The following is a 27,355-nucleotide window of genomic DNA, read 5'->3' on the forward strand; positions in this document are numbered from 1 at the left end:
CTCATTTAAATTCCTTACTCCCAAATCTCCGTCCTATGAACTTTAACTTACAAATGAGCCACCAAGTATAACATAAAAATTTTGCAGGTTGCTATGGCTTGAATGTTTGTTCCCTCCAAAACTCATGTTAAAATTCAATTGCTATTGTAAGAGTGTTATGATGTAGGACCTTCAAGAAGTGATTAGGCCATGAAGCCTCCACTCTTAGAGGTGGGATCAGTGCCTTTATAAAAGAAAGAATATGGCCCCCTCTTACTCTCTTGCCCTCTCTTGCCTTTCTGCCACCTGCCATGACATGACACAGCAAGAAGGCCCTTGCCAGAAGCCAGTTCCTCAATCTTGGACTTCCCAGTCTCCAGGATCATAAGCCAATGATGATTTTATTAATTATAAATTACCCAATCTCAGGTATTCTGTTATAGCAGCACAAATGGACTAAAACACAGACAGAAAAGATGTAGATAAAGTTTTATGTCTTTCATTTTCTTATTTTCTGTACCAAATCATTATAATAGCCAGTGTAGATGAGAAAAAAGAATCAAAGGTGTAAATGAGTTTGAGAATAGAAGTCAGATAAGGAATCCGGAATCCAGAACCACAAACATTAGGAATCAAAACAAGAGAAGTAAGAATACAAAAGCAATAGAGATGAAGGCTTGGTTATGTGTTTTTATAGGGTTTGGAAAAGACAGCACAGATTGATAGCTTGTGCCTGCTTTAACTTGTCATACACCCTGTCTTTCCCTATGTGGTCTGGGGTATATAAGTCCCCCTGTAAACTTGTGCTTAGGCTCTGCCAACACTACGACATCTCAGACCAACCTTAGGGATTCATAACCAAAGATGAACTACATCCTATCTGAATAAGGAAGAACATTACAGGGCTGTGGCTGGAAATATTCAAACCTCTCTATGATCAGTTATTGACAGTGATTTCTTTCTCCTGCTCTTCTATACTCTTTACACGTATTAGAAGCTTATGAGTAGATCTTTGGGATATTTGTGAGTCTTGTCAAATCATTGCGCTAACTTTGCTGAAGCATTTTTCTCCATTGCTAATTTCAAAAGCAAAATCAGGCGATTGAAAGAAATAAAGGCGATTTGAATAGGAAGAGAGGAAGTCAAACTTTCCCAGTTTGCAGATGATATGATCCTATATCTAGAAAACTCCATTGTCTCAGCCCAAAAGCTTCTTAAGCTGATAAGCAACTTCGGCAAAGTCTCAGGATACAAACTCGATGTGCAAATGTTTAGCTCTTTTGGTTCTCAAGTTCTTTTGTCCCAGAAATGCAAATTATAGTTATGTACCCCTTAGATCTAAATTCTACTGCAACAAAAACCAGATACCTCTTCTGGTTCATTATAACAATATTTTGTATCTGTCATATTCTGTAACTGTAGTTGGGGTCAGATGGTTGTTAGTTTTGTGATATCATTGGAAGTACTACCTATTTTCAATAAATCAGACAGTATGAGAAATAACATTTAAAACTTTGCACCATATTCTATTAAGGTTATCACTTCTGAAGATTAATATATATTGTTCAGAGAGATTTGGGAATGGAGTGAATCTCCGAGATGCTCCATCAGATGTGAAGATGTATTCTCCCTGTGAAGCCATTGTTATTCATGACCCCACACATGCTTACAAAAGCAGTTAGAGGACTTCACCTTGAAAAGGTGTTCTTAAGTGCCAACTGTTCTTACACAAAAGGCCAGACAAGAGTTGAAAACTCGACTCTAATATGTAGCCACTTTATTTTCCTTATTGCCTAGATGGAAGAGATTCTTCTCTCATTAATGCTTGAGGAATAAATATTTTTAGGCAAGAATTAAAGGGGCTAAAGTATTAAATAATAAAAAACTTGCAAGCATAAGTTAAAATATAAAATTTAACAAAATAATTTACCACACAATGAAAACCTCTAAATAAGATATCAGAAAGGTATTTTTTAAAAACAGCTTCTTCTCTTATCTTAGCCTTTCCCCTTTAATTGACTTCTTTTTCAAGTAATCAGTAAGTCCTTGCTTGGAAGAGATAAACAAGTATAAATAAAACAAACACAATGCAAGTTAGTTTATGTATATACACTTTTGAATCAGATAGCATTGCCAGCCAATTGAGCTTTCTCCTGTGGTTTCTGTGGGGTCGATATTTTTCATGCTGTGTATGTGCATTTATCTTCCAGTTGATCTTCCATAATAAAATGAATCCCCCAAAGCTTCAAAGCCAATTAGCTTAGAGTTATATTTTTCATTTTTTCCTTATGAACTTCTTCTTCATTGAAAATACAGTACTGATAAAAACAACAAAATACAAAAAAGGGAAAGAGATATGCTTACACCAGAATCTATATTAACAAATCTGTCATATCAGCCATTCTGTTGCTTAGCAGTCATGAGTAGGTCACGTGGCCAGCATCCTCAGTTTGGCCCAGTTTTCTCAAAGAGAAGACATGATGCTTTCTTACTCGGAGTGAACTGGGTCTTCCATACCATCCTGTTAAAAAAGTCAGCTAGGTCTTGCTATGTCTAAAATACAGATATATTAATAAGTCATATACAATTATTGATTAATTGACGATAATATAAGGCTTTATTAGAAAAGAAAAATGCATTACCATAATGTGTACAACTCAATATCAAAATCACTTTGGACATGAACTAGCTGCCATTTATTTTCATGATTTAAGAATATTAAACAAAAGAGGACAATAAGTATCATAAACTTCATTCTGGGGGAATCAGAATCATCCTCTTTATGAGTTTTATGAGGTATGATATATAAATACACATTATGAGAATTGAGCCAAATGTTTACTGCTTACAACTCTCATTAACAACACATCTGTCCATAGGTTTCCTTGTTCCTGATCTAAACGTGGCAGTTCTCACTGTTGGGCCCTGTTAAATATTGTCGACTAGTTTGTTCAACCTAGATTCCAACGCATCTCTAACTGAGATCTGGGGAAACTAAACAACATTTATCTATTGCTCTAGGGTCCTTGATACACATCAGATTCCTCAGATTAAATGCATTTGAGTGAGATGTGGAAAGTGAAAGTCAAGCCAAAACCATTTTCTTGTCTTTTTTCGATGTTTTTTCTAAAAAGAATATGGAAATTTGAAGATTTTCTGCTTCAATCATTGAATGTCTTTTTCTTTGCTTCTTTTGCTTTCACGGGAAGTTCTGTCAGAGGCAGCAGTGGCATCAGCCTCGGATTCCTCATCCTGCGTCACAGACACTCTCAAGCGCAGCAGCTGTCTCAGTAGAGCAGGTCCCCTGTGGATCTTGATTGAAGAAGTCATTTCTGGTGGCGCAACTACAATCTATCCTTCCAGTATTCCTTAATGGAAGCCTAGAATTTTCTGTGTGTTTTTTGTTTGTCTTTTATATTTTCTCTTTTTTAAATATTCTTTTTTTCCCTTTTTTTTTTTTTTTTGAGACGGAACCTCGCTCTGTTACCCAGGCTGGAGTGCAGTGGCACAATCTCAGCTCACTGCAACCTCCATCTCCCAGGTTCAAGCATTTCTCCTGCCTCAGCACCCCCAGTAGCTGGGATTACAGGCACGTGCCACCATGCCCAGCTAGTTTTTGTATTTTTAGTAGAGACAGGATTTTGCCATGTTGGCCAGGCCAGTCTCGAACTCCTGACCTCAGATGATCCACCCACCTCAGCTTCCCAAAGTGTTGGGATTACAGGCATGAGCCACTGCACCCTGCCTTTTTATACTTGCATTTTAAGTTCAGGGGTACATGTGCAGGTTTGTTACATAGGTAAACATGTGTCACGGGGGTTTTTGAACAGATTATTTCATTACCCAGGTTTATTCTATGTATTTATTATTATTGTTATTATTTTAGATGGAGTCTTACTCTGTTGCCCAGGCTGGAGTGCAGTGGCTTGATGTGGGCTCACTACAACCTCTGCCTCCCAGGTTCAAGTGATTCTCCTGTCTCAGCCTCCCGAGTAGCTGGGATTACAGGCACCCACCACCATGCCTGGCTAATTTGTGTATTTTTAATAGAGACAGGGTTTCACCATGTTGGCCAGGCTGGTCACGAACATCACTCAGGTATTAAGTCTAATACTCGTTAGTTATTCTTCCTGATCCTCTCCCTCTTCCCACCCTGCATCCTCTGAAAGGCCCCAGTTTGTGTTGCTCCCCTCTAAGTGTCCATGTGTTCTCATAAACTAGCTCCCACTTACAAGTGAGAACATGCAGTGTTTGGTTTTGTGCTCCTGCATTATTTTGCTAAGATTAATGGCCTCCAGCTCCATCCATGTCCCTGCAAAGGACATGATCTTGTTCTTTTTATGGCTGCATAGTATTCCATGGTGTATGTGTACCACATTTTCTTTATCCAGTCTACCACTGATGGACATTTAGGTTGACTCTGTCTCTGCTATTATGAATAGTGCTGCAGTGAACATATGCTTGCATGTGTCTTGGTAATAGAACGATCGATTTATATTCCTTTGGGTATCTACCCAGAAATGGGATTGCTGAGTCAAATGGTATTTCTGTCTTTAGGTCTTTGAGGAATTGCCACACGTCTTCCACTATGGTTGAACTAATTTACATACCCACCAACAGTGTTTAAACATTCCTTTTTCTCCACAAACTTGCCAGCTTCTGTTACTTTTTGACTTTTTAATAACAGTCATTCTGACCCATTCCGAGCCATTCTGACTGGTGTGAGATAGTATCTCATTGTGGTTTTGATTCGCATTTCTCTAATGATCAGTGATGCTGAGCTTTTTCTCATATGATTGTTGGCCACATGTATGTCTTCTTTTGAAAAGTGTCTTTTCATGTCCTTTGCCCACTTTTTAACGCGGTTGTTTTAATGGGGTTGTTCGTTTAAGTTCCTTATAGAGCTGAACATCAGATCTTTGTTGGATGCATAGTTGGCAAAATTTTCTCCTCTTCTGTAGGTTGTCTATTTATTCTGTTGATAGTTTCTTTTGCTGTGCAGAAGCTCTTTAGTTTAATTAGATACTATTGGTCAATTTTTGCTTTTGTTGCAATCGATTTTGGCATCTTTGTCATGAAATCTTTGCCCATGCCTCTCTCCTGAATGGTACTGCCTAGGTTGCCTTTTAGGGTTTTTATAGTTTGGGGTTTACGTTTAATTCTTTAATCCATCACTAGTTAGTTTTTGTATACAGTGTAAAGAAGGGGTCCAGTTTCAGTCTTCTGCATATGGCTAGCCAGTTATTGAACCACCACTTATGAATAGGGAATCCATTCCCCTTTTCTTGTTTTTGTCAGGTTTCTCAAAGAACAGATAGTTGTACGTGTGGGGCCTTATTTCTGGGTTCTCTATTCTGTTTTACTAGTCTATGTGTCTGTTCTTGTACCAGTACCATGCTGTTTTGATTACTGTGGCCCTGCAGTATAGTTTGAAGTTAAATAGCATAATGCCTCCAGCTTTGCTCTTTTTGCTTAGGATTGCCTTGGCTATTTTAGCTCTTTTTTGATTCTATATGAATTTTAAAATAGTGTTTTCTAGTTCTGTGAAGAATGTCAATGGTAATTTAATGTGAATAGCATTGAATCTATAAATTGCTTTGGGCAGTATGGGCACTTTAATGATATTGATTTTTCCTATCCATGAGCATGGAATATTTCTCCATTTGTTTGTGTCATCTCTGATTACTTTGAGCAGTGGTTTGTACTTCCCCTTTTAGAGATCTTTCATCTCCCTAGTTAGCTGTATTCCTAGGTATTTTATTCTTTTCATGGCTATTGTGAAAGAGTTGGTTCCTGAATTGGCTCTTGGCTTAACTGTTGTTGGTGTATAGGAGTGCTAGCAATTTTTGCACATCGAGTTTGTATCCTGAGACTTTGCCGAAGTTGCTTATCAGCATAAGAAGCTTTTGGGCTGAGACAATGGAGTTTTCTAGATATAGGATCATATCATCTGCAAACAGGGAAAGTTTGACTTCCTCTCTTCCTATTCAAATCCCCTTTATTTCTTTCAATCGCCTGATTGCGCTGGCCATAACTTCCAATACTAGGTTGAATCAAGTGGTGAGAGAAGGCAATCTTGTCCTGTGCCAGATTACAAGGGGAATGCTTCCAGTTTCTGCCCATTCAGTATGATATTGGCTGTGGGTTTGTCATATATGGCTCTTATTATTTTGAGGTACGTTCCTTCAATGCCTAGTTTATTGAGAGTTTTTAACATGAAGGGATGTTAAATTTTATCACAAGTCTTTTCTGCATCTATTGAGATAATCTTGTTGTTTTTGTCTTTAGTTCTGTTTATGTAATGAATCACATCTATTGATTTGTTTGTTGATTGTGTGTTGAACCAATCTTGCATCCCAGGGATGAAGGCTACTTGATTGTGGTGGATAAGCTTTTTGATGTGTTGCTAGATTCAGTTTGCCAGTATTTTGTTGAGGATTTTTGTATTAATATTCATCTAGGATATTGGCCTGAAGTTTTCTTTTCTTTTTTTGTATCTCTGTCAGGTATTGGGTTTGACAGTAGACCCTGTTTTTACATTGAGTTCTGACTGATACAGTAGGATTAGAAGCAGTTGTACTTGAGAGATGGGAATTTGGGAGTGATTGTGAGACCTGTTTTGTGAAAAAAGGATGATCCCTATGTCATTCAAAAATGGAAAATGTGTGGCCCATGACACAGAGCCACTCATAGGATCACCTTCAGTCACTTGAAATAAAGTGCCTACTGAAGGGAAGGTTTTGAAATGAAATGACCATTGTGATACAGCATCCAGGAGAGTAAAAAGAATACAGAACTCTGGCTATTTCTCATTATATTGGGCAATTTTTAAATAAAAAAAGACAGGCTCTGGGCTTTCAATTCTTAGTTCAACACACAGTTACAAGGTTGGGAAACATCTATCATGATCTCCTGCTGTCACATAACCAACATAGCCAGAAATCAGACACAGAGTTTGATGTCCATAATTTGCTGTATCACAACAAAAACTGAATGCAAAGCCTTTCCATGCCTCTTACATCAAAGCTGGAGTATTTCCCAACAGAAAGTGGAATCCTGATGAGGAACATTTTGGTGGATTCTGTTGAACCTGAACACTCTGCATCCCTGAAGACCAGTGAATATCTCTTCACCCACAGAAACGGTTCTTTCTCTCCTTTGTGATGGAACAAGCCCTGGTTTGTTTGGAGACCCTGGCCACAGCTGCACCTCATAGACACTACACCTATGACAAGAGTTAGATCCCAGCTTGTCCTAGGGAAACGAACAGAATCTGACATGGAAAGAGTTATGTTTCATATCAAATAGATCCATGATTTTGCTAATATATATATATATATATGGATATACATATATGTATACGTATACATATATACATATGTATATCCATATATATACATATATAATGTTAGCTGGAAGCTGAAGGATATGTGTGAGAATGGGTTCTAACAAGGATAGACAAGGGAAAAAGAAATATAGATCAGACAAAATGTATCAATATAGGTATACCTACCAGAGATTATAGACTCAATGTGCCAGCTGAAGCTTCTCACTGTGGTATAAAATGTTGACTTGGTTAGTTGCCTGGAACCTGGACTAAATGGTGTTCTGCACAAAACGAAGGTGACATGCCTAACCTTATTTAGTATAATACAGAAAAGGGAATTTTAAGACTTAGATAAAAATGGAATGAGTTTATTTTATGTACTAAATTACTCAATCTATAGAAATTTATCCTGAGGTGCCTCAGAGGACCCTTCATTTACCTAGGCAATTTAAAAATAAATTGGTAAACAAAATAATTAAAGACAGAAATATGGACCAGGCCTAGTGGCTCATGCCTGTAATCCCAACAATTGAAGAGGCCATGCAGGTGGATCATTTGAGACAAGGAGTTCAAGACCAGCCTGGGCGACACAGTGAGACACTAATAAGATATTAGCTGGGTGTGGGGTTTGCACTTGTAGTCCTAGCTATTTGGGAGGCTGAGATGGAAGGATCGCTTGACCTGGGCTTTTGAGGATGCGGTGAGCTGAGATCGCACCACTGCACTACAGACTGGGTGACAGAGTGACACCGTGCCTCAAAAAAAGAAAAAATAAAATAGAAGACAGAAATATGTAATAAACCACTAGGGGGAAAATAGAAAACTATGAGTTTATACCAAAATATATATCTCTATGTGTACTTATATGCAAAATACTTATACCTAGATATACAAAATACATAAATAAATAAAGTAAATAAATAAGAAGATAGGGGCTTTTGTTTTAGAAGAACACCAACTGCTGAATGATAAACATCAGAGGGATGGTGGAGTTGGAAAAAGGTCATCATTTTTGCAGTCATTACAGTAAAGATTGAGACAGGCAGAAATCATCAACTGATGCTAAAACTAGGAGGATAAATGTTTAAAAGAGGCAAAATATTTGCGTGATCTTAAATTGTTTTACTACAGATTATTAATTGCAATGTAAAAAGCAGTAACTATATGGTATACAAATCAAATGCCTTGACCAGATGATAAGGATGCAAATAGACATTGTGTGACTCTCGATTTGATACCCTGAGAAGGACATCAAATCACAATATCCCTTATGTAGTATCCCAGTTGGGAAGACATGACTGAAATCTAAACATGGGTAAACATCAAACTCAAAATGAGGAACATGCAGTTTTATTTTTTGAAAATGTGGGAGAGGACTATATTCTGCATATAAAGGAGGCAAAGAAAGGCTTTAGACATCTTTCAAATTAAATGAATCTAAAAAGACATAATTAAGTGCAGTACCTACCCCTAGACTACATTTTATAATGGAAGACAAATTCAGTGAAGGACATAACTGGGTTGCTTGATAAAATAGAATGTAGATGATAGATTAAAATACGAGTTAGTATTACATTTACTGAAGGTGATAACCACACAGTTGTTACACAAGGATACATTTTTTCTTAAGAAATAAGTACTTAGTGAGGAAGTACCAGGAGGTATGCATCTTATGCTCAGATGCTGAGGCAGAGACAGGGTCTCTATGATAAAGCAAATGGAGCAACATGTTAAGAAGTGAATCTGGGTAAAGGCTGTACCATTGTTCTTTGTATACGCCTATTTTTGCAACTTTGCTATAAGTTTGAAATTATTTTCAGATAAATTAAAAATATATGTTAATACAAATATACATATAACACCTTGAAAGGTACCATACTGGATATCCTGAGTAGGTCAGCAAGGAAGGTGGAAAAGGCTGTCCTTGACATAGGCTTAATGACTTCAGTGAAGACAACTGGGTCCCAGAGTGGAGAAGACTAAATGGCAGCACTTAACTGCTAGAAACAAGATACTCATGATTACAGAAATAGGCAGCAGAGACAGAAAGGTCATCAGAATAATTTTTCCCATAGGGATCTTTGGTAGTTACTAATTAACTATGGGGTCTCTTGGACGAAAATAGTTAGGCAGGCTACTAGAGTCCTATTAGATCTGAATTTAGAGACTCTAGTATTGTAAGCAGAAGTCTGATTTTGCCATCATAAAAGAGTAAAAGACTCTGCCTTCTAATTCTTAGACATAAACTACTTCTGAACGCCAAAAGTCCCTCAAATACAGAGTAAAACAGATTCCTTAAGGAAACACTTTTTGATATTGCCAAATCTTTTCTCTGGTCTCCCTGCAAAGGACGCAGAGCCCCTTACCATGGGCCTGAAAAAGGAAATGCCCAGGCCTTTCAGGGATTACTGAGCTTGGACTAATGCATGGGGTCGTAAGGTCCCCAGTATATTGCATATCTGTCTTCTCTGCCCAAGTTTAGAGTCATTTGAGATATAGACAATAGACATTAAAGAACATTTTGCATATCAATTAATATAATTGGAGAATTGTTGTCGGATATGGTCAAGTAGGTTAGGGAACTCATCATTCCAGGTTCCCAACCCCAGAGATACCTGGGCGGCAGCATAACCTCCCCTCAAGCACATATGTTATTACATTACAGTGGTCTAATTAACAGCCCGATTGGAGTCTATTACTTCAGTTGTCTAAAGGTTTTGAGACAGCCAGGTGGGAACGGCTCCCTGGCAAAACTCCATCTGGCCTGAGCACGGGTGAAGCCACAGAAGTTCACGCCATTTGCAGTGGAACGGAGCCTGGCCCTTTCTCTTTGGAACCTGGGATTCAAACTGCGAGGTAGGAAGCTCACCAGCAGGGACTCTGGCTTTGCAGAGGGTCCCTGTTTTCCCTTTTATCCCTTTTCATCCAATAAAACCCTGCCTTACTCACCCTTCAATTTTCTGCAGACCTAAATTTCCATGACCATGTGGCAAGGACCCTGTCTTTAGCTGAACTAAGGAAAAGTCCTGCAACATTTTGAGACTAAATTCAAGTGACTATTTTATGACCTGCTTGGCCACTTGGCCTTTTAACTATGAATTGCTGAGTAAATAAATTGTCCAGACATGGCATGATAGCCATTCGAATGGCTCACTGAATTTTTTTTTAAAAAGCTACAGAATTGATATTAAAGCAACAAATGGGCAATATTTACCTGTGGAAGGCTGCAAATTCTGTTTCATTTTTGGGCCAGGGAATACGTGAGGAGCTATGAATCATGTTAAAGATATAAAGGGATTACTGATAAGGCCTAAATTTTTTTCAACCTAACAGCTGTGCAGAAAAATTTTCATAATGCTTGCATTTAATTACATAAAGAGTGGTACAGTCTCTTTCACTTTATCTCAGTAATGAAGGCTTGATTCTGAAGATAATCCAGGGTCTTTCCCTGTCAAGGCCAGCATGTGGGTAACAGTGAATTCAATTCCCACTCTTCACTATCCTTAGACGATAAAACAAGAATAATTTTTCACATGCATTATAAAGATGAAAAATAGTACCGTAGGGCGTATTTTCTTTAATGTACTCTAAAAATATAGAGAGGTAGCATGATAGACAGATGTATAAAAGAAAAAAAAATTAGCCTCTGAGCCATTTCTAGAGTTCACTGTAACACCATTCAACAAAAATTAAAGAATATGAAAGAGTCCTTTCCTTAAAAAAAAGAAACAGTAGTTTGTTAAATTTTCTAGTACTGAAGCTTCTTTGTGTGGGATTTAGCCACAGCCTCTGATGGCTTGCAAGATTGCTAGTTTTATGGAAATAATTAGGAAGCCCAGCTCTGCCTTGTAAACTAGGAGTCTTGAGGTTAATTAAAGTAAAATGAATGCTGCATATATAAGAACCACCAGTAAAGCTTGACAGTCAGGTATGTAGAATTCTGTCATCTGCTGAGAATACAGACAAAGAAAGCCAGCATCGTAAATTAACTGGGAATATGTTTAGACTTTTTATAATAATCTTCAATCAACCTTGACATCAGACACATGTCGATGGCATATAGTTGTACACTACAGTGATTTTATTCACAGTATATAGACATTTCCAAAATATTTCTATGGATTCCTAATATATGGTGAATATTTTTCTCTATTTTTTTAAAAGAGAGATAGATGTAAAACTTTTTGCACAGGCTCATTGATTTCATTAAAGATGTCAAAGGTCAGCTAATTTAGTTGGCCACCTCTAACGAAAATTATATTTCATAAATGGCTTATTTCCAAAAATCATTCAAAAAGATGGTAGTGCTACCCCCAAAACAGTGCAAACATCCTATCTCTGGGAAGGAACAAGAATCAGGAGACTTGGGTTTAGAGCCAGAATCTGCCTCTTCAAAGGAGAGTGAACTGAGCAAGTCTCCTAAACTTTCTGAGCCCGTTTTTAAAATATGAAATAGATACAAAAAGCAGTAGCTTGTTGACTTCGTGAAGTTTTTATGAGGATAAAATAAGAAATACAAATGCATTTTCTACTGTAAAGCACTATGTACATGTTAGAAATTTATTAAAGAAAACATATTCCCTTTTTTTAAAAATAAGTAAGTTTTCTATTAATTTGTTATATGGAAGCAGCTTTGTTGGAGGCAAGGAGTTGTCTCTTTACAAATGCCGGAAGTTATAGCCCTCTGCCAGACAGTTCAAAGTTCACAATAATGAACAGACAGAATAACACGTGAGATTTCATAGACAAACTAACCTAAAGTAGAAAGTTACGTAAGTCAGAGATGGATGAGTGTATGAAATGTCCATAGAAAGTGCTATTTGTGCCATATATAGATAGGTAAGACATGGGCACAACTGAAAAAATATAATCTCAATCATAGTTATTTGAAAGATTTCAGAAAATATTTAATCAAATTAAATGAATATTAGTTTGCAGCAGAGTTTTAATAGTTAACATAGCTAACCTAGAGTAAATAGAAGTCTAAAGAATATTAATTCTGCATTTAAGTGCCCTGGGAAGTTTCCTATATGGCAGTGAAAACGCAATATACCATTCTGGGATGTCAAAATGCAGAAATAAGGTAAAATAATATTACACTAGCATTGTGTATCTATCCATTCTGAAATAAGCATTGAGGGAGGAATGTGAGGGTTTAAGAGTATGAACTTTACAGCATGGATTTGTAACATCACTATTGACAGATCACAAGCATTGTTTTCCTTAATTCCTAGTCTAGTATATTCTAACCAATGTCTACTTAAGTGAAGCACATACATTCTATGTTTATACTGTGAAAACACATACAATTTAAAAGCTGTTGGAACCCTCAAAACTCTTTAGGCCTTGAGAGAAATGTGACTGTGATGTGAATCACATAGAATGTAGTTACAACTTCTGCTTCTTAGATTGTAGAATAACTCTCTCATTGCTCTTGCGTTGTAAATGACTAGGAGAAACCAGAGACCACATCTCTTCCCCTTCTAATCACTGACTTTTGTTATAGATTAACTGCCTCCTTTACTGTCCTGTACCTCATTCAGACCAGATCATGCAAAAGACCTCATGACTGTCACATGTTCAATGTGGAAATTAAATATACCTTTCCTGAAAGAAAAAGACCAGCTCAACCAATCAGATCTTTGTAACCATGCATTAAGCCATATATACAAAGATGCTGAAATTCTGTTAAGCTTCCCTAAATGTTATCTATATAGATGACCTCCAAAATTCCACATTTTGGAAAGCTGATTTCCGTTTTTTGGAATCCTTGCTTCCCAGATGGCCATCCTCAAGCTTAGTGCTTGAATAAACTCTACAATTAATAAAGTTTTCTGAATCTCATTATTTATGGTTGTCAATACTGAACACACAAATGCATAAGCACATCCACACACACTTCTTAATCAGATAAGAGAATTAATTTGATTTTTCACGGTTGAATTCACTCTGCTCTCCAAGTGGTTGCCTTTCTCATATAAATTTGAACCAAAATGGCTATGTCCAAGATAGTGTAGTACCAGGTTACATTAATCCCTGTCTGGATAATACTATAACCAATTAGGACTCCAAGTAATTTGAGAGTTTCTCATTAAAAAAAACTTCAATAATTTCATTGAGCTCATTATAATAGATCTAAAAACTGAATGAATCAGTATATTTTAGCAGAAAGCATCAGCGTACAGAATTAACAATAGCCTGAAGCATAAAGACATGATTTTTTTTATCATATTACAAATGTAATGACCCAATGGGTTCACCTTGCCCACTGCCTAGACAGAGCCAATTTATCAAGACAGGGGAATTGCAATAAAGAAAGAGTAATTCATGCAGAGCCAGCTGTGCAGGAAACTGGAGTCTTATTATTACTCAAATCAGTCTCCCCGAGGGTTCGGGGGATCAGGGTTTTTAAGGACAACTTAGTGGGCGGGGGGAAGCCAATGAGACAGGTGTGCTGATTGGTCAAGTCAGAGATGCTTCTTGTGCTTAGTCAGTTCCTAGGTGGGGGCCACAAGATCAGATGAGCCAGTTTATCAATTTTGGTGGTGCCAGCTGATCCATCAGTTGCAAGGTCTGCAAAATATCTCAAGCATTGATCTTACAAGCAGGTTAAGGAGGGTCAGAATCTTGTAGCCTCCAGCTGCATGACTCTTAAACCATAATTTCTAATCTTGTGGCTAATATGTTCAACCTACAATGGCAGTCTAGTCCCCAGGCAAGAAGGGGATTTGCCTTGGTAAAGGCCTGTTATCATCTTTGTTTTAAACTATAAACTAAGTTCTTCCAGAAGTTAGTTCAGCCTATGCCCAGGAAAGAATAAGGATAGCTTGGAGATTAGAAGCAAGATGCAGTTGGTTAGGTCAAATCTCTTTCACTGTCTTAGTTACAATTTCGCAATGGTGGTTTGACAAGCAGGCTAGAGATAGGTGGTTATGATATAGAAGGGCTGGGCTCCCAGCTAAACCCCAACCTTAAGCCTGGAACCGCAGCCCTAAGTGAAAATAGCTGAATCCATTTTTCCGCAAAAATGTTTTTTTGTTTGTTTTTTTTTTTTTTGGTCTGCCTTACCCCTATCCTGTGCCCATAAAAAGTCTTCAGCTGGCAGAGCAACACAAGCAGCTGAGCATCAGGGATACAAGTGGCTGAGCAACGAGCATGGAAGTAGCTGAGAAACAAGCAGAGAAGCAACTGAGCTTCAGAGACTGCAGATAGATGCAACTAACTTCAGATGGTGCAGCTTCAGGGAAAGATCACCTTCTTCCCACACCATCCCCTTTCCAACTCTCTATTCTGCTGAGAGCCACTTCCATCACCCAATAAAATCCTCTGCATACACTACCCTTCAACCCATTCATGTGACCTGATTCTTCCTGGACACTGGATGAGAACCTGGGTGCTGAGAGGGCAGGGGCTGGGACACTGCTGTGGGGTCTGCACAGAGCCTTCTCCTGCCAGAGAGGAGCAACCAGCCGGTTCCAGTATTCATTTGCTTTGGTCCCACACTCACTTGCTTGCATGCTCCCTCTTGCAAGGAGTGGCCAGCAGCAGACTGAGTGAAATGAGCCATCCAGTTCCCACCCATGAAGGGGATCAAGGTCAAGGAAACAATCTCATCTCAGTTGTAGAGTCAATTCAACAGCACAACAGTGGCAGAATGTTAGCCCAACATCACTTTGAATCATTTTGGCTTTCTTTCTTGGTCAAAAGAGGACTGCCAAAGAGGCAAAACACAACTTCACATAACTAAATCCCAAGCAAGAAAGAACTGTTGAAAGAAAATCCTTAGACAAATATAATTTAACAGAGTTTAACTGAGCAAAGAACAAGTCATGAATTGGGCATCCTCCTGAGCCAGAGTAGACTCAGAGAGTCCAGCACAAGCATGTGGTGACATAAGACTTATGGACAGAATGAAAGTGACCTACAGAAAATGGAAGTGAGGTACAGAAACAGCCAGGTGGGTTATAGCTCAGCATTTGCCTTATTTAAAAATGGTTTAAACAGTTGGCCCCCTATGATTGGCCAAAACTCAGTGATTGGCACAAGAGTAGATTTGAGACCATTTACACTTCTATTTAGGTTATAGTTCACTATGTACATAGAAAGCTTTAGGCTCAATTTAAAATATGTAAAGAGGCAACTTTAGGCTAAACTTCACTTAACAGAATGGAGTGGAAGCAAACACATATATTCCTTTATATATGTTTGCCTTTAAAAGAGGAGTAAAATCCTTCTCAGAAATCTACCTGGTCATTTCCCCTTAGGTTTCATCTTCCAGAACTGAGTGACATGCCTACTCTAGACAAATCACTAGGAAAGACAAATGAGATTGCCAAAACTGGCTTTGACCTGCCATGTTTCATCCATAGAAGTTCTATTGTCAACCAAACATAATGGGGATTCTGTTAACAAGAGAGAAAGGGAATGACTTTGAACAGGCAATTAGCAGAGTCTACCTCCAGGGATAGCCTCACTCCAAGACTGGTCTGAGCTCTGACTGAAGTGTATGTAAAAACAAGAGTATATTTAAGAATAAAGATGGGTCAGCAAACATTTTTCTGTAAAGGGCCAGATAGCAAATATTTTAGGCTTTTCAGGCTATGTAATCTCTGTTACATATTCTTCTTTGTTATTTTTACGGCATGTTAAAAAAAATGCGCAAAACACTCTTAGCTTTCCTGGCATATAAAAACTGGTCATGGACCAGATTTGACCCTACTGTGCCAGCACCTAGACAGACACATGATATAATCATTGCCTTTCATGCAGTTAGTTAACAAAAATATATGGAGTGTCTAATATGGTCAGTCACCAAACTAAGTGTTGGGGATGCAGACCTGACCAACGTAGAGTGTATTCCCTGAGAAAGCTCATAATGTAGTGGTATCTCCTGCCTCCCCACCCAAGAAAAGCCAAAATGTAAGCCTACCTTTCATTTTTATGCAGTAAATATCCTAAACAGTTTTTCTGCAAGTGTGGTATATAATTTTACAGATATAGATTTTTAAATAGTACAAAGTTATTTACAAAGTTATTAAGCTGAGAAAATCACAAGTTTCTAAAAAATTACACATATTTGAGGCATGTATGTCCTACCTACAAGGAATATATATGAAGGATACAAAGTAGCCAAAACAGTATAAAAATACCCTACGATATTGATGTAATTTCTAGCCCTGGTACTATTTCCTCTGTCAAAAAAACACACAACAAATATATATATGTGTATATATATATTATATTATATGTATTATGTATAAATATAATATATTATATGTATAAATATGCTATTTATACATATATGTATATATAATACATAATATATGTATTATATCTTATAAAATACGTATCCTGAAACCTAATATCATGAGTTTTAAAACAGTAGTTGTCAAAAGAAAAAAATTTGTATACTAAACATAATAGAACCCAAGATTGTCTGCTGTAAGTAAATTTCATCCAATTCTTAATGTAAGAGATTAACATTTTATTATAGGAATTTCAGCAATTTTAGAGGGATTTTGTAAAATCAGTATGGAAAATAGACATTCTTTAGGAAAAAAAAAAGCATTTAATCAGAATCAATCTGACTGTGTCAGTGTTTGAGGAGTATTTGAGCCTGATTTAAAAAGTCTTTACCAGTCTTACCTAGAATACCTCCTTGTACTTAAGAGATATTCTCAATCCACTGCCTTGAGGCCATCAGAGGATCATTCAGTTGCTTGTTCTTTTCTTCTTTTTCATGTTGACTAAAGAGGCACACTAAGCAGTCCTTCTAAGCAAAACAAAACAAAACAACAAAAAATAATCACCAACGCATTTCTGAAAAAGAATCAAACTGTCCTTTGGAAAACTGAAATTGCACTTGGGAACTGCGTGTTTCTGTCTTTAAATGTAGTCAACAAAATTGTTGCTCTCTTAGAAATGGTTTGTTTGTGATAAGTGAGCTTTCTTTCTGTAGATGAAGTCCCCAGAGTAAGTTTCTGTCACCAACATTTCCCTTTCTTGGACTTGAGAAATTACAGTCTGCAGATAACATACTTGCCTAAGCAGCAGAAAAATGTTCCTGACTTCATGGAACTTCTGAACAGCTTTGGGAAATAGTATTCCATGAAACTCCCTGGGGAATGCCCCAGAATGTCTATGGGGACCCTAATCCTCTGCAGATGCACATTAAAATTTGCAGCAGGTTTCTCAACGGGCCTTTCTGGTGTTTTTGTGCTGAGGAAGTTTAAGTCTGTCTTTGGTTCTAAATATCAAAAAAGTGCTAAAGTATGAAGTATTTATCATAAAATCTTCTGAACAAACATGATTTGATAGATCGGCTCTAAAAACATGTACAACTTTAATAGAAGCAGCAGGCCGGAGTCATTGAAAAGATTAGGGCTCTCCAGTCAAAAGATCTGGTTTAAATCTAACTGCTGTTGCTTATCATCTCTGTGACCTTGTACAATAATCCTTAATTCATCTTTCTTTCCTCATCTGTCTAATAGAAATAATGTGAGCATCAAATATGATAGTACTTTCATTCATTCTGTGATTAAGTGAATATTTGTTGAATCAGGCATTATGTGTCAGGCTCTAAACTGAAAAGGAGCAGAGACCCCCTCTTAGGGGCCTGCACCTCTCCACACCCAAGCATGGAACTAAAGGGAAATCTTGAGTTCTTTCAAGGGAAATTCCAGGTGCCTAGCCAGCCCTGAGAAATAAATAAGTAACTTGAAAAGCAAGAAAGTAATAGTAGCCCAAAACAACAGCCAAGAAAGCTTCAATCATGGGATGTTTGATTCTCCTGCAGAAACTAAAGATAACAACATAGGTCTCTGAGTTGTTTTTCAGAAACCCAGACCCCCACCAAACGAACTTGCTGGCATGTAGACCTCAGATAACGAGGAACTGAAGTCTGAACTCTGACCACTGTTCTTTGTTTTACATTTCATTCTGAGGCGCCAGGAGGGAGTCACATCCAGGAGCCAAGCTAACATTCAAATCTGCTGACCCCAAATTTTTACACAAGGTTTATCTTACTTATCTAATTGCAAATTAGAAAATCTTTGAATCTATTTATGACACGTAAGCCCTCTCTCCCTTAAAGTTATCTGTCTTCTTAAGGCCAAAACCAATGCAAATGTATCGACATACCATGTTGCCTATAACTTCTGCTTTCCTGAAATTTACCCCTGCCTTTAAAAACTCTCACCTGCAATCCATCAACAAGGCTGTGACTTAAGCGTGAACTGTCTGGTCCTCATTGCTTGCTGCCCTACAGATAAACACCTTCCTTTCTACTGATGCAAACTGTGGTGTGGATATCTGGTCTTACTGTGCTGGACAAGAGGACCCCAGTTTGGTTCTGTAACAGGACTAGCTGCTGGGATACACAATAGGAAGACAGCCATAGTCCAGTCTTATGAAAATAGAAGTGCCTGGAAACTGTAATCTATACATGCTTGTTACCGTGATAAGAAAAATGATGTAATGGGCTGGGCACAGTGCTCACACCTATAACCCCAGCACTTTGGGAGACCGAGGCGGGTGAATCACGAGGTCAGGAGTTCAAGACCAGCCTGGCTAAGATGGTGAAACCCTGTCTCTACTAAAAATACAAAAATTAGCCAGGTGTGGTGGCACATGCCTGTAGTCCCAACTTCTTGGGAGGCTGAGGCAGGAGAATTGCTTGAACCTGGGAGGAGATTGCAGTGAGCCAGATCACGCCACTGCACTCCAGCCTGGAGACAGAGCGAGACTCCATCTCAAAAAAAAAAAAAAAAAAAAAAGAGAAGCCTGATGTAATGATGTAATGTATTTGAGGTGCATAGCAATAACCAATTCCATTTCTAGTAATAAATACAAATAAAAATCACAACTTGACATTGAAGCGATTAAAAGAAAAGTGCATATCCACACCAGTTTAGAGTTTTTCTTTAATATATGAGGTCTCTCATATAAAGTAAAATTCCAAGAGGTAATAGAGAAATCAACGTGGCTTCTCCTGCCAGACTGATCATTCCTTCCCAGTTTTGGTTACTGACTATATCACTGAAAAGTCAGTTAAGACACTGCTCTTACTAGCGGTGAAATTTGGATATGGCTTAAAAAGCTGCAATTCAATAAAGCATTAAATTAGATTGCTGATGAAGTATATTCAAGGAAACAATTTACCAATATTTATTAATCATATGTCAAATTAAAAAATATGTTTCTACCAAAAAATTTAAGGACATCTTTCATCTACTAAAGAAAGAGTGAAGATATTTTTAAACTAATTTTAATGCATAGATTATTTTTCAAAAAACATAGGTAAATACTACAGAATCCATTATCAAAACTAAACTTCATACTTTAAAAACTACCATAGAATTTCAGAATTGAATTTGACCTTAAAGGTCACTTTTTAGAAAGCATAATAGAATTGAATTTAGAAAAGAAAAAAAGAAAGGGAAATAAAAGAAGAAAAAAGTAAAATTTTTGCATAAATACTCCTAGCTTTTTAGCTTTCTTTCTTTTTTTTTTTTTCTTTTTGAGACAGGGCCTCTTTCTGTCATCCAGGCTAGAGTACAGTGGTATGATCATGGCTCACTGCAGCCTCAACCTCCTGGGCTCAATAGATTCTCCCACCTCAGACTCCTGAAAAGCTGGGACTACAGGTGCACACCACTATGCCTGAATAATTTTAAAATATTTTGTAGAGACAGGGTCCCACTGTGCTGTCAAGGCAGATTTTGAACTCCTGGCCTCAAGTGATCCTCCTGCCTCAGCTTCCCAAAGTGCTGAGATTACAGGCATGAGCCACTGTGCCTGGCCACACGTAGCTGTTTAATGGCAAACTAGGGTTCTGAACATGATCACGTTAATCCAAGTCATTTCTTCTATAAATGGCTTCTTTTGGTTTATAAATAAATAACATAAAAAAGAATATGAAAAACATGACTGCAATGAAATAACCTACTGAAAAGCTTTGAAATTAGTAAGGAATACCAATAAAAATACTTTTTTGTTTCCGTTATAACAGAAACAAAACATTTGTTAACAACTTCATTTGTTAGTTGATTCAATACTTTTATTTTTAATAACTACTAGTATTAATCTCTGTACATACCAAAATAAATAAGGCACATCACTGATCTTTTAGGATCACCCAACGTGGAAAGAGATAAGCACAAAATCAGACAGTATAAAAAAGGATAATAAGGACTTCATTGCCTTTAGAAACCATTACGAAGTCAGAGGAATAGCAAAACCCATGAATCATGCTCTGTATGCTACCAGTGTATACTGTGGAGAAAGGAAGAGCTGGGATTAGCTGGGCAGCCCCTGCATAGAGCTGGTGAAACTGGATTAGTTTAGCATGGGCAGTAGGTGAAGAGGAATGGAGTAGATTCAAGGATGATAATACGAATTTCCTTGTCATAACATGGAAATAATGCCTATCTCATTAGGGGGTTATAAAGAATAAAAAAGGGGCCAGGAGCAGTGGCTCACACCTGTAATCCCAGCACTTTGGGAAGCCAAGGCAGGCAGCTCACTTGAGGCCAGGAGTTCAGACCAGCCTGGATGGCATGGTAAAACCCTGTCTCTACTAAAAATACAAAAATTAGCAGTTGTGGTGGCACAGGCCTGTAGTCCTAGCTACTCAGGAGGCTGAGGCACAAAAATCGCTTGAACCCGGGAGGTGGAGGTTTCAGTGAGCTGAGGTCACACCACTGCATTCCAACCTAGGCAACAGAGTGAGGCTCTGTCTCAAAATAAATAAATAAATAAATAAAAATTGAAAAGGAAGTGATACAGACAGGAGTCAGGGAAATACTAGGTAGAAAAGGTCCACTCTCAAACCTGGACCTATGGCCCTAAATGAGAACATGCATTCCTATTTTCCCACCCAAATATTGCCTTTTCCAAAACCACCCTGGCCCATCATGATCCCCATCCTGTACCATAAAAACCCCAAGCTCCACTGGCAGAGGAGCAGAGCAAAGTGGCAACGAAGGAGAGAAGAGAAGAAGCAACTGGATGTTGGAGAAAAGCAGCTTTACTTCAGAGGAATAGCTTGATGGAAGGACTTTGGAGAAGAGTTCAACTGGGGACTGCCAAACTCCAGGGGAAGACTATCTTCCCAATCCATCCCCCTTCCAGCTCCCCTTCCCACTGAGAGCCACTTCCACTGCTCAATTAAAATCCTCCGTATACACCACCCTTCAATTTGTTCGCGTGACCTGATTCTTCCTTGACACGCAACAAGAAATTGGGTACTAAGAGGGCAAGGTATAAAAGGATGTCACTCCGACCCTTCGCTGAGCTGCTTAACACTTAGCTGTCTGTGGTTGGCAAATGCTAAAACAGCACTGATTGTAACACATGCCCTCTGGGGTTCCAGGAGTCACAGACACCCCCTCTCAGACAGCAGAGCTAAAAGACCATTGTAACACACATGGACGCTGCCACAGGGCCCGCAGAGAGCCTGCTAATGCCAGACAGGAGTGACCAGTCAGTTCCAGCGTTCATTTGCCCTGGTTCCCGCACCTGCTCACCTCCATGCTCCCCCTCCTATAAGGGGTTCAGAGCTGCGGGCTGAGTAGATGAGCCACCCCTTCATGAGTCCTGTGAAGGGGTCAAAGGAACTATCCCATCTCAGAAGCATAACAATGGCAGCATTCATAAAATACTTACAGTAATTCTAATACATGGAGAACTCCCAAAAACAAGAATTCAGATAGATGGCATCAATGGCTGGCACACATCCTCCACAGCAGGCTTACCCAAGCTCAACTCATCAGTTTTACAATAAAAACACCAACCCCTTTTTACATGGCTAAATTGTTGGATCCATTTAGAGCATTATAGTAGAATTTTAAAATACTATTTACTAATCGTTTGTATTATTTCATGCATACTCCTTATTTAATCTTTATTCTATAAGGGGAGAACTCTTGTCCTGTCTTAGAGGGTTTAGAGAGGTTGAGTAATCCGCCCCAAATTACACAATTCAAGAGTGAGTGTGGCCAGAATTCAAACTAAGGAGTCTGACTCCAAAGGCCATATCAGTCTAATTCAGTGATTGACAAACAAAAGCCCACAGTCAAATCTTGCCCACTACTTATTTCCATGCCACTAATTTTCTAATTTTTTTTTTTAGATGAAGTTTTGCTCTTGTTGCCCATGCTAAAGTGCAATGGCGCGATCTTGGCTCACCACAACCTCTGCCTCCCAGGTTCAAGCGATTCTCCTGCCTCAGCCTCCTGAGTAGCTGGGGATTACAGGCATGCACCACCACACCCAGCTAATTTTGTATTTTTAGTAGGACGGGGTTTCTCCACGTTGGTCAGGCTGGTCTCAAATTCCTGACCTCAGGTGATCCGCCCGCCTTGGCCTCCCAAACTGCTGAGATTACAGGCGTGAACCACGGCCCCCAGCCTCAGCCACTCTTATTAAGCACTGAATAACTAAAATTAGTGTTTTTTAATAAAACAAAAGACTGCATCTATGCAAAACTTACATTGCAACAAAATCATTTCTATGACAACTAACACTGTTTCAAACCCAGTAAAGTAAAGCTCCTTTATACACGTTACATACTGTTGTTTTTTGTTTTCTGGTTTTTGTTTTTGTTTTTTGATACCAAGTCTTGCTCTGTTGCCCAGGCTGGAGTGCAGTGGTACGATCTTGGCTCACTGCAATCTCCATCTCCCAGGTTCAAGCAATTCTCATGCCTCAGACCCTTGAGTAGCTGGGATTACAGGCACACGCCGCTGTGCCCAGCTAATTTTTGTATTTTTAGTAAAGAAAAGGTTTCACTCTGCTGACCAGGCTGGTCTTGAACTCCTGACCTCAAGTGATCTGCACACTTCAGCTTCCCAAAGTCCTGGAATTACAGGTGTGAGCCACTGTGCCCAAGCTGTACACGTCACATACTGTTAAAGACAAAACAAAACACAAGATCTCCATTCCCACAAAAAATTTGCAATGAATATGTTTTTCAAGTTCAAACTATAGTTCCAGCTGCATTTTTCAGATCTTAATTAAAGGAAAAACAAGACAAAACAAAAATCCTCCATATTTCAGAATTCACTTAACTGTGCAATTGAGGAGCTTTCACTTAGCTTTCCTGCGGGAGTTGCTGGTATGCAATAGAATGGTACACCAAAATCAAATATCAAGAGGAAAATCTAATAGAATTCTGTTTGCCTTTGAGCTAGTGAATGTGCTCAGTTAAAATCATATGCTCACATATTGATATCAGTATTTGGCAAAACCTATCTGTGTGAGAAGATATTTTCACAGATAAAATACATGAAATTTCATTATGGATCAACATTAACAGATGAGTTTACAATTGATTTTGATGATAGCAAGAACTAATTTTGAACGCCAGTTAAGCAAAATATTATCCCCCCATTCTTATCATTCATAGACTTGTATGTTTAAATTTTTTAAGCATTTGTTTGTTTGTTTGTTTACTTATTTCTTTACTGACACAGGGTCTCACCCTGTCACTCAGGCTGGAGTGCAGTTGCACAATCATAGCTAATTGCAGCCTGGATCTCCCAGGCTTAAGCAGTCCTCCTGCCTCAGCCTCCAAATAGCTAGGACTACAGGCATGCACCACCATGCTGGGCTAATTTTTTTTTTATTTTTTACTTTTTGTAAAGTCAGGGTCTTGCTATTTTGTCCAGCCGACCTTAAACTCCTGGCCTTAAGTGATACTTCTGCCTTGGCCTCCCAAAGTGCTGGGATTACAGGTGTGAGCCGCTGTACCAGCCTGTATTTTCTTTTAATGAACTTGTCATTATTATATTTTGAATTTCAACAATAAAAAATTTGTAGACATTTGTTTTCTCTCTTCTTATATAAATAGCTACATAATATCCTCAATTTTGCCTCATGGCCTACAAAACTTTAAATGTTTACTGTCTGACCCTTTATAATAAAATGGTTGCTAACCTCTATTTTAATTCCAACAAATGTTCATTTAATGTCATTTGTCTTCCAAAGTTATCTGCTAAATATTTGTACCTTCACAGTAATTTCCAATGTCACTCCACTTGTCTCCAAAATATTTTGGTAAAAATTGAAGAGTATGAAAAAATTGTTTTTCTGAACTTCCTATTATTCTCTAAAACTCTAATATGGTCTGGCTTTGTGTTTCCCCCAAATGTCATCTTGACTTGTAATCTGAATTGTAATCCCCACATGTTGGGGAAGGGACCTTGTGGGAGGTGATTAGATTATGGGGACGTCTCCCCCGTGCTGTTCTTGTGATAGTGTGTGAGTTCTCACAAGATCAGACAGTTTTCTAAGGGGCTTTTCCCCACTTCACTCCTCATTTCTCTCACTTGCCACCATGTAAGATGTGCCTATGTCACCTTCCACTGTGATTATTAGTTTCCTGAGGCCTCCATAGCCATGTGGAAATGACTCAGTTAAACCTCTTTTCTTTATAAATTACCCAGTCTTGGGTATGCCTTCGTAGCAGCATGAAAACAGACTAATACGAACCCCTTCACCTCTTGCTGGCTCATTTCCTTCCATCCTGTGCCCCACGCCCCCTTTACAGATCCCCAGTGTTTTCATGATACCTACTCATTGTGAATTGTCCTCTCTCCCTAAGCCTTTCATTGGAATCAAAATTTTCCCTCCTCTTCCTGACTCTATCACAAATATCATTTCAGTACTTACCTGTCCTCAAGTTAACACCATTCAGTGTAGGCAGGGGTTTGGATCCCCAAAAGTGAGAGTCCTGGCTGATCCTGACAGATCTATTAATTGAAAGAAGTTTCCAGATGGCAGAGTGAACCCATGGATGTTGACCATATTCTTTTCAACTTAAGAAACAACTATTGGTGAGCAAGTGGACCATGGGCTGCTGGCTCCTGAGGTTTGAGGAGGGGAGTCCTTGAATGGAGGCAACGTGTAAGGCAAAGATTATGAAAAGGATCAACAACACACATTCCAACATCTATTGCCAAGGCAAGCCATTCAAAGGCAGTAATGGCGTCCCTAGGAGCACGCAGGGTACGGAGGTGACTTCTCTCAGAATGACTTCTGAAGTGGTCCCACTCAGGCTAGCTTCTGAGCATCTTTCTCCCTTCCAGTCACTTCCTAACATGAGGGCAAGGATTTCCAAAGTTTTGGCCAAATAGATCAATTGTGTTTGTTTACTTATTTCTATGTATAAACTATCTTCTCAGCAAGCCCCCCATTATGTATGAGCTACATACATGTTGACTAATAAAAAGAGCTGGTGATATAATGTAGTTTTCAACTATATGCTTTATTAATTACAGTCTCATGACCAGAATCAGTGGCAAAAAGGATGAGATTGCTTTACCCCAGAATACTTTAAACACACATGCTCATATTCTTTTCTTTTCTTTTTTTTTTTGAGATGGAGTCTCGCTCTGTCGCCAGGCTGGAGTGCAATGGCCAATATGGGCTCACTGCAACCTCCGCCTCTCGGGTTCAAACGATTCTCCTGCCTCAGCCTCCTGAGCAGCTGGGACTACAGGCACACACCACCATGCCCAGCTAATTATTGTATTTTTAGTAGAGGTGGGATTTCACTATGTTGGCCAGGATGGTCTTGATCTCTTGACTTCGTGATCCACCTGCCTCAGCCTCCCAAAGTGCTGGGATTACAGGCATGAGCCACCATGCCCAGTACATGCTCATATTTATATAATTATATTCAACCTAAGCCCCTCGTTTTTCTTTGTCCTTTTTTGACTCCACGGATTTCCTCACCCAGGCCGGCCCACAGTACTGCCTTTTTCTGTGCCCAAACTAGGCTTGTATGTCTGACTCCTTGTCCTACCTATTATTCTGATATAGGTAGGCTGAATGAGTGAGGCTACCTTCTTCAGTATCTACTCAACTCTTTATTGATGATAATTCCAATGCTTGATGGTTTTCTTTCAGATGGGTAAAAACCATATCACGATTCTGTGATTTAAAAATATACAAAGAACTTGATGTTCACTGTCCATGTATTTTATAGACAGTTATTGCTGTTTTACTATTTCTTTACATATTTCATTCTGTGTTTTCTTTCCTTGTCTTTTAAAGTGAGTCTGCTTTCCTTCACTTGATCTATTTATTTCAAAAGCACTTTTAGATGTTTTTCTACTTAATTTTAGTCTCCATCAGATTAAATTACACAGCCGACCATTTTTTTTCTACTAGCCATATAATTGTAGGGAAGTACATGTGCCAAAATATTACATTACTAAATATTTGTTATTACCTAAGTCAATGCCCGAATGTCAAGATGGTATGAGGCCAATGAGAAAAGCTTAGAAAACCTACAAATGTGAGGTGGATTTCATGTTACCCAGAAGGAAATGTGTATTAAAGGCCAGAGAGTATGGGATAAGAAGGAGAATAGATTAATGCAATGTATTTGGGCTTTAGTTGTTAACATAAAACATAAATACTTCCAATGACTGAGACTAGTTAAAAGAAAGATCAGCTTCTGTACAATAGATTCTATAAAGAAAAAGAACATACACAAATGATATTCTAGATTCCCTTGTAAAATTCTAATAAAGTTGAAAATGATTTTGGATGTAATTGTTAGAAATAAGGAAAACTGTGGCACCTATGAAATAGAAGTCACAATTATATTCAACAGCAATCACAATTTGAAAATTTTCAGGTTCTTAGTGAATTGTTATTTAAGTGAGTGGGAACATCAAGCTTTAAGAAGTAGAGACTGAGAAAATAAGCATGTTACCAAAAAAAAAAGCCATCTGCAATTGTGAAATACAGAAGGAAGATTGAAGATTCTAAAACAAACTCAGGAAATGTGCAGTTAGTAGCACTCAGAAATAATGCAAGAGGAGAATAAGGCTGATGTGAATGAGTATGAAAATTATGAAAGCGCTTGAACAAAAGTAAGAAAGCATGTATCAAATAAAGCACCACACCAGAAATTGCTACTAAAACAAAGAGCTAAGAGCAAGAATAAACTATTAGAAAAACTATCATTATGATGGAGAACTAACTTATAAAGTGAGTAAGCACAACAAAGTTGTAAACATGTTCAGGGCAAATAAACCA

The 27,355-nt window shown here is 38.3% G+C and overlaps 1 long non-coding RNA gene across 3 annotated transcripts in view, besides 1 other annotated feature; it reads right to left on the reverse strand.

Moving 5' to 3' along the window:
* LOC105377557 (uncharacterized) overlaps positions 1 to 27,355 on the reverse strand; it is an 88,225-nt gene that overhangs the window by 40,856 nt on the left and 20,014 nt on the right. The window contains exon 1 of one of the 3 annotated variants that reach the window (XR_007058381.1): positions 16,952 to 18,853. The exons of the other annotated variants lie outside the window; for them this stretch is intronic. This is a non-coding gene — a long non-coding RNA (uncharacterized LOC105377557). Of the gene's footprint in view, positions 1 to 16,951; positions 18,854 to 27,355 lie in introns of those variants that run through there. 3 annotated transcript variants of the gene reach the window in all.
* Positions 1,392 to 1,911: an enhancer, noted in NCBI's record as "OCT4-NANOG hESC enhancer chr4:178176457-178176976 (GRCh37/hg19 assembly coordinates)". NCBI's record gives its function as "activates a minimal SCP1, AML or CMV promoter by ChIP-STARR-seq in naive H9 embryonic stem cells {active_cell/tissue: H9 hESC(naive)}" and the evidence as "EXISTENCE:reporter gene assay evidence [ECO:0000049][PMID:30033119]".

This window comes from Homo sapiens, chromosome 4 (genome assembly GCF_000001405.40).
Source record: "Homo sapiens chromosome 4, GRCh38.p14 Primary Assembly".
NCBI classification, from domain to species: Eukaryota; Metazoa; Chordata; class Mammalia; order Primates; family Hominidae; genus Homo; species Homo sapiens.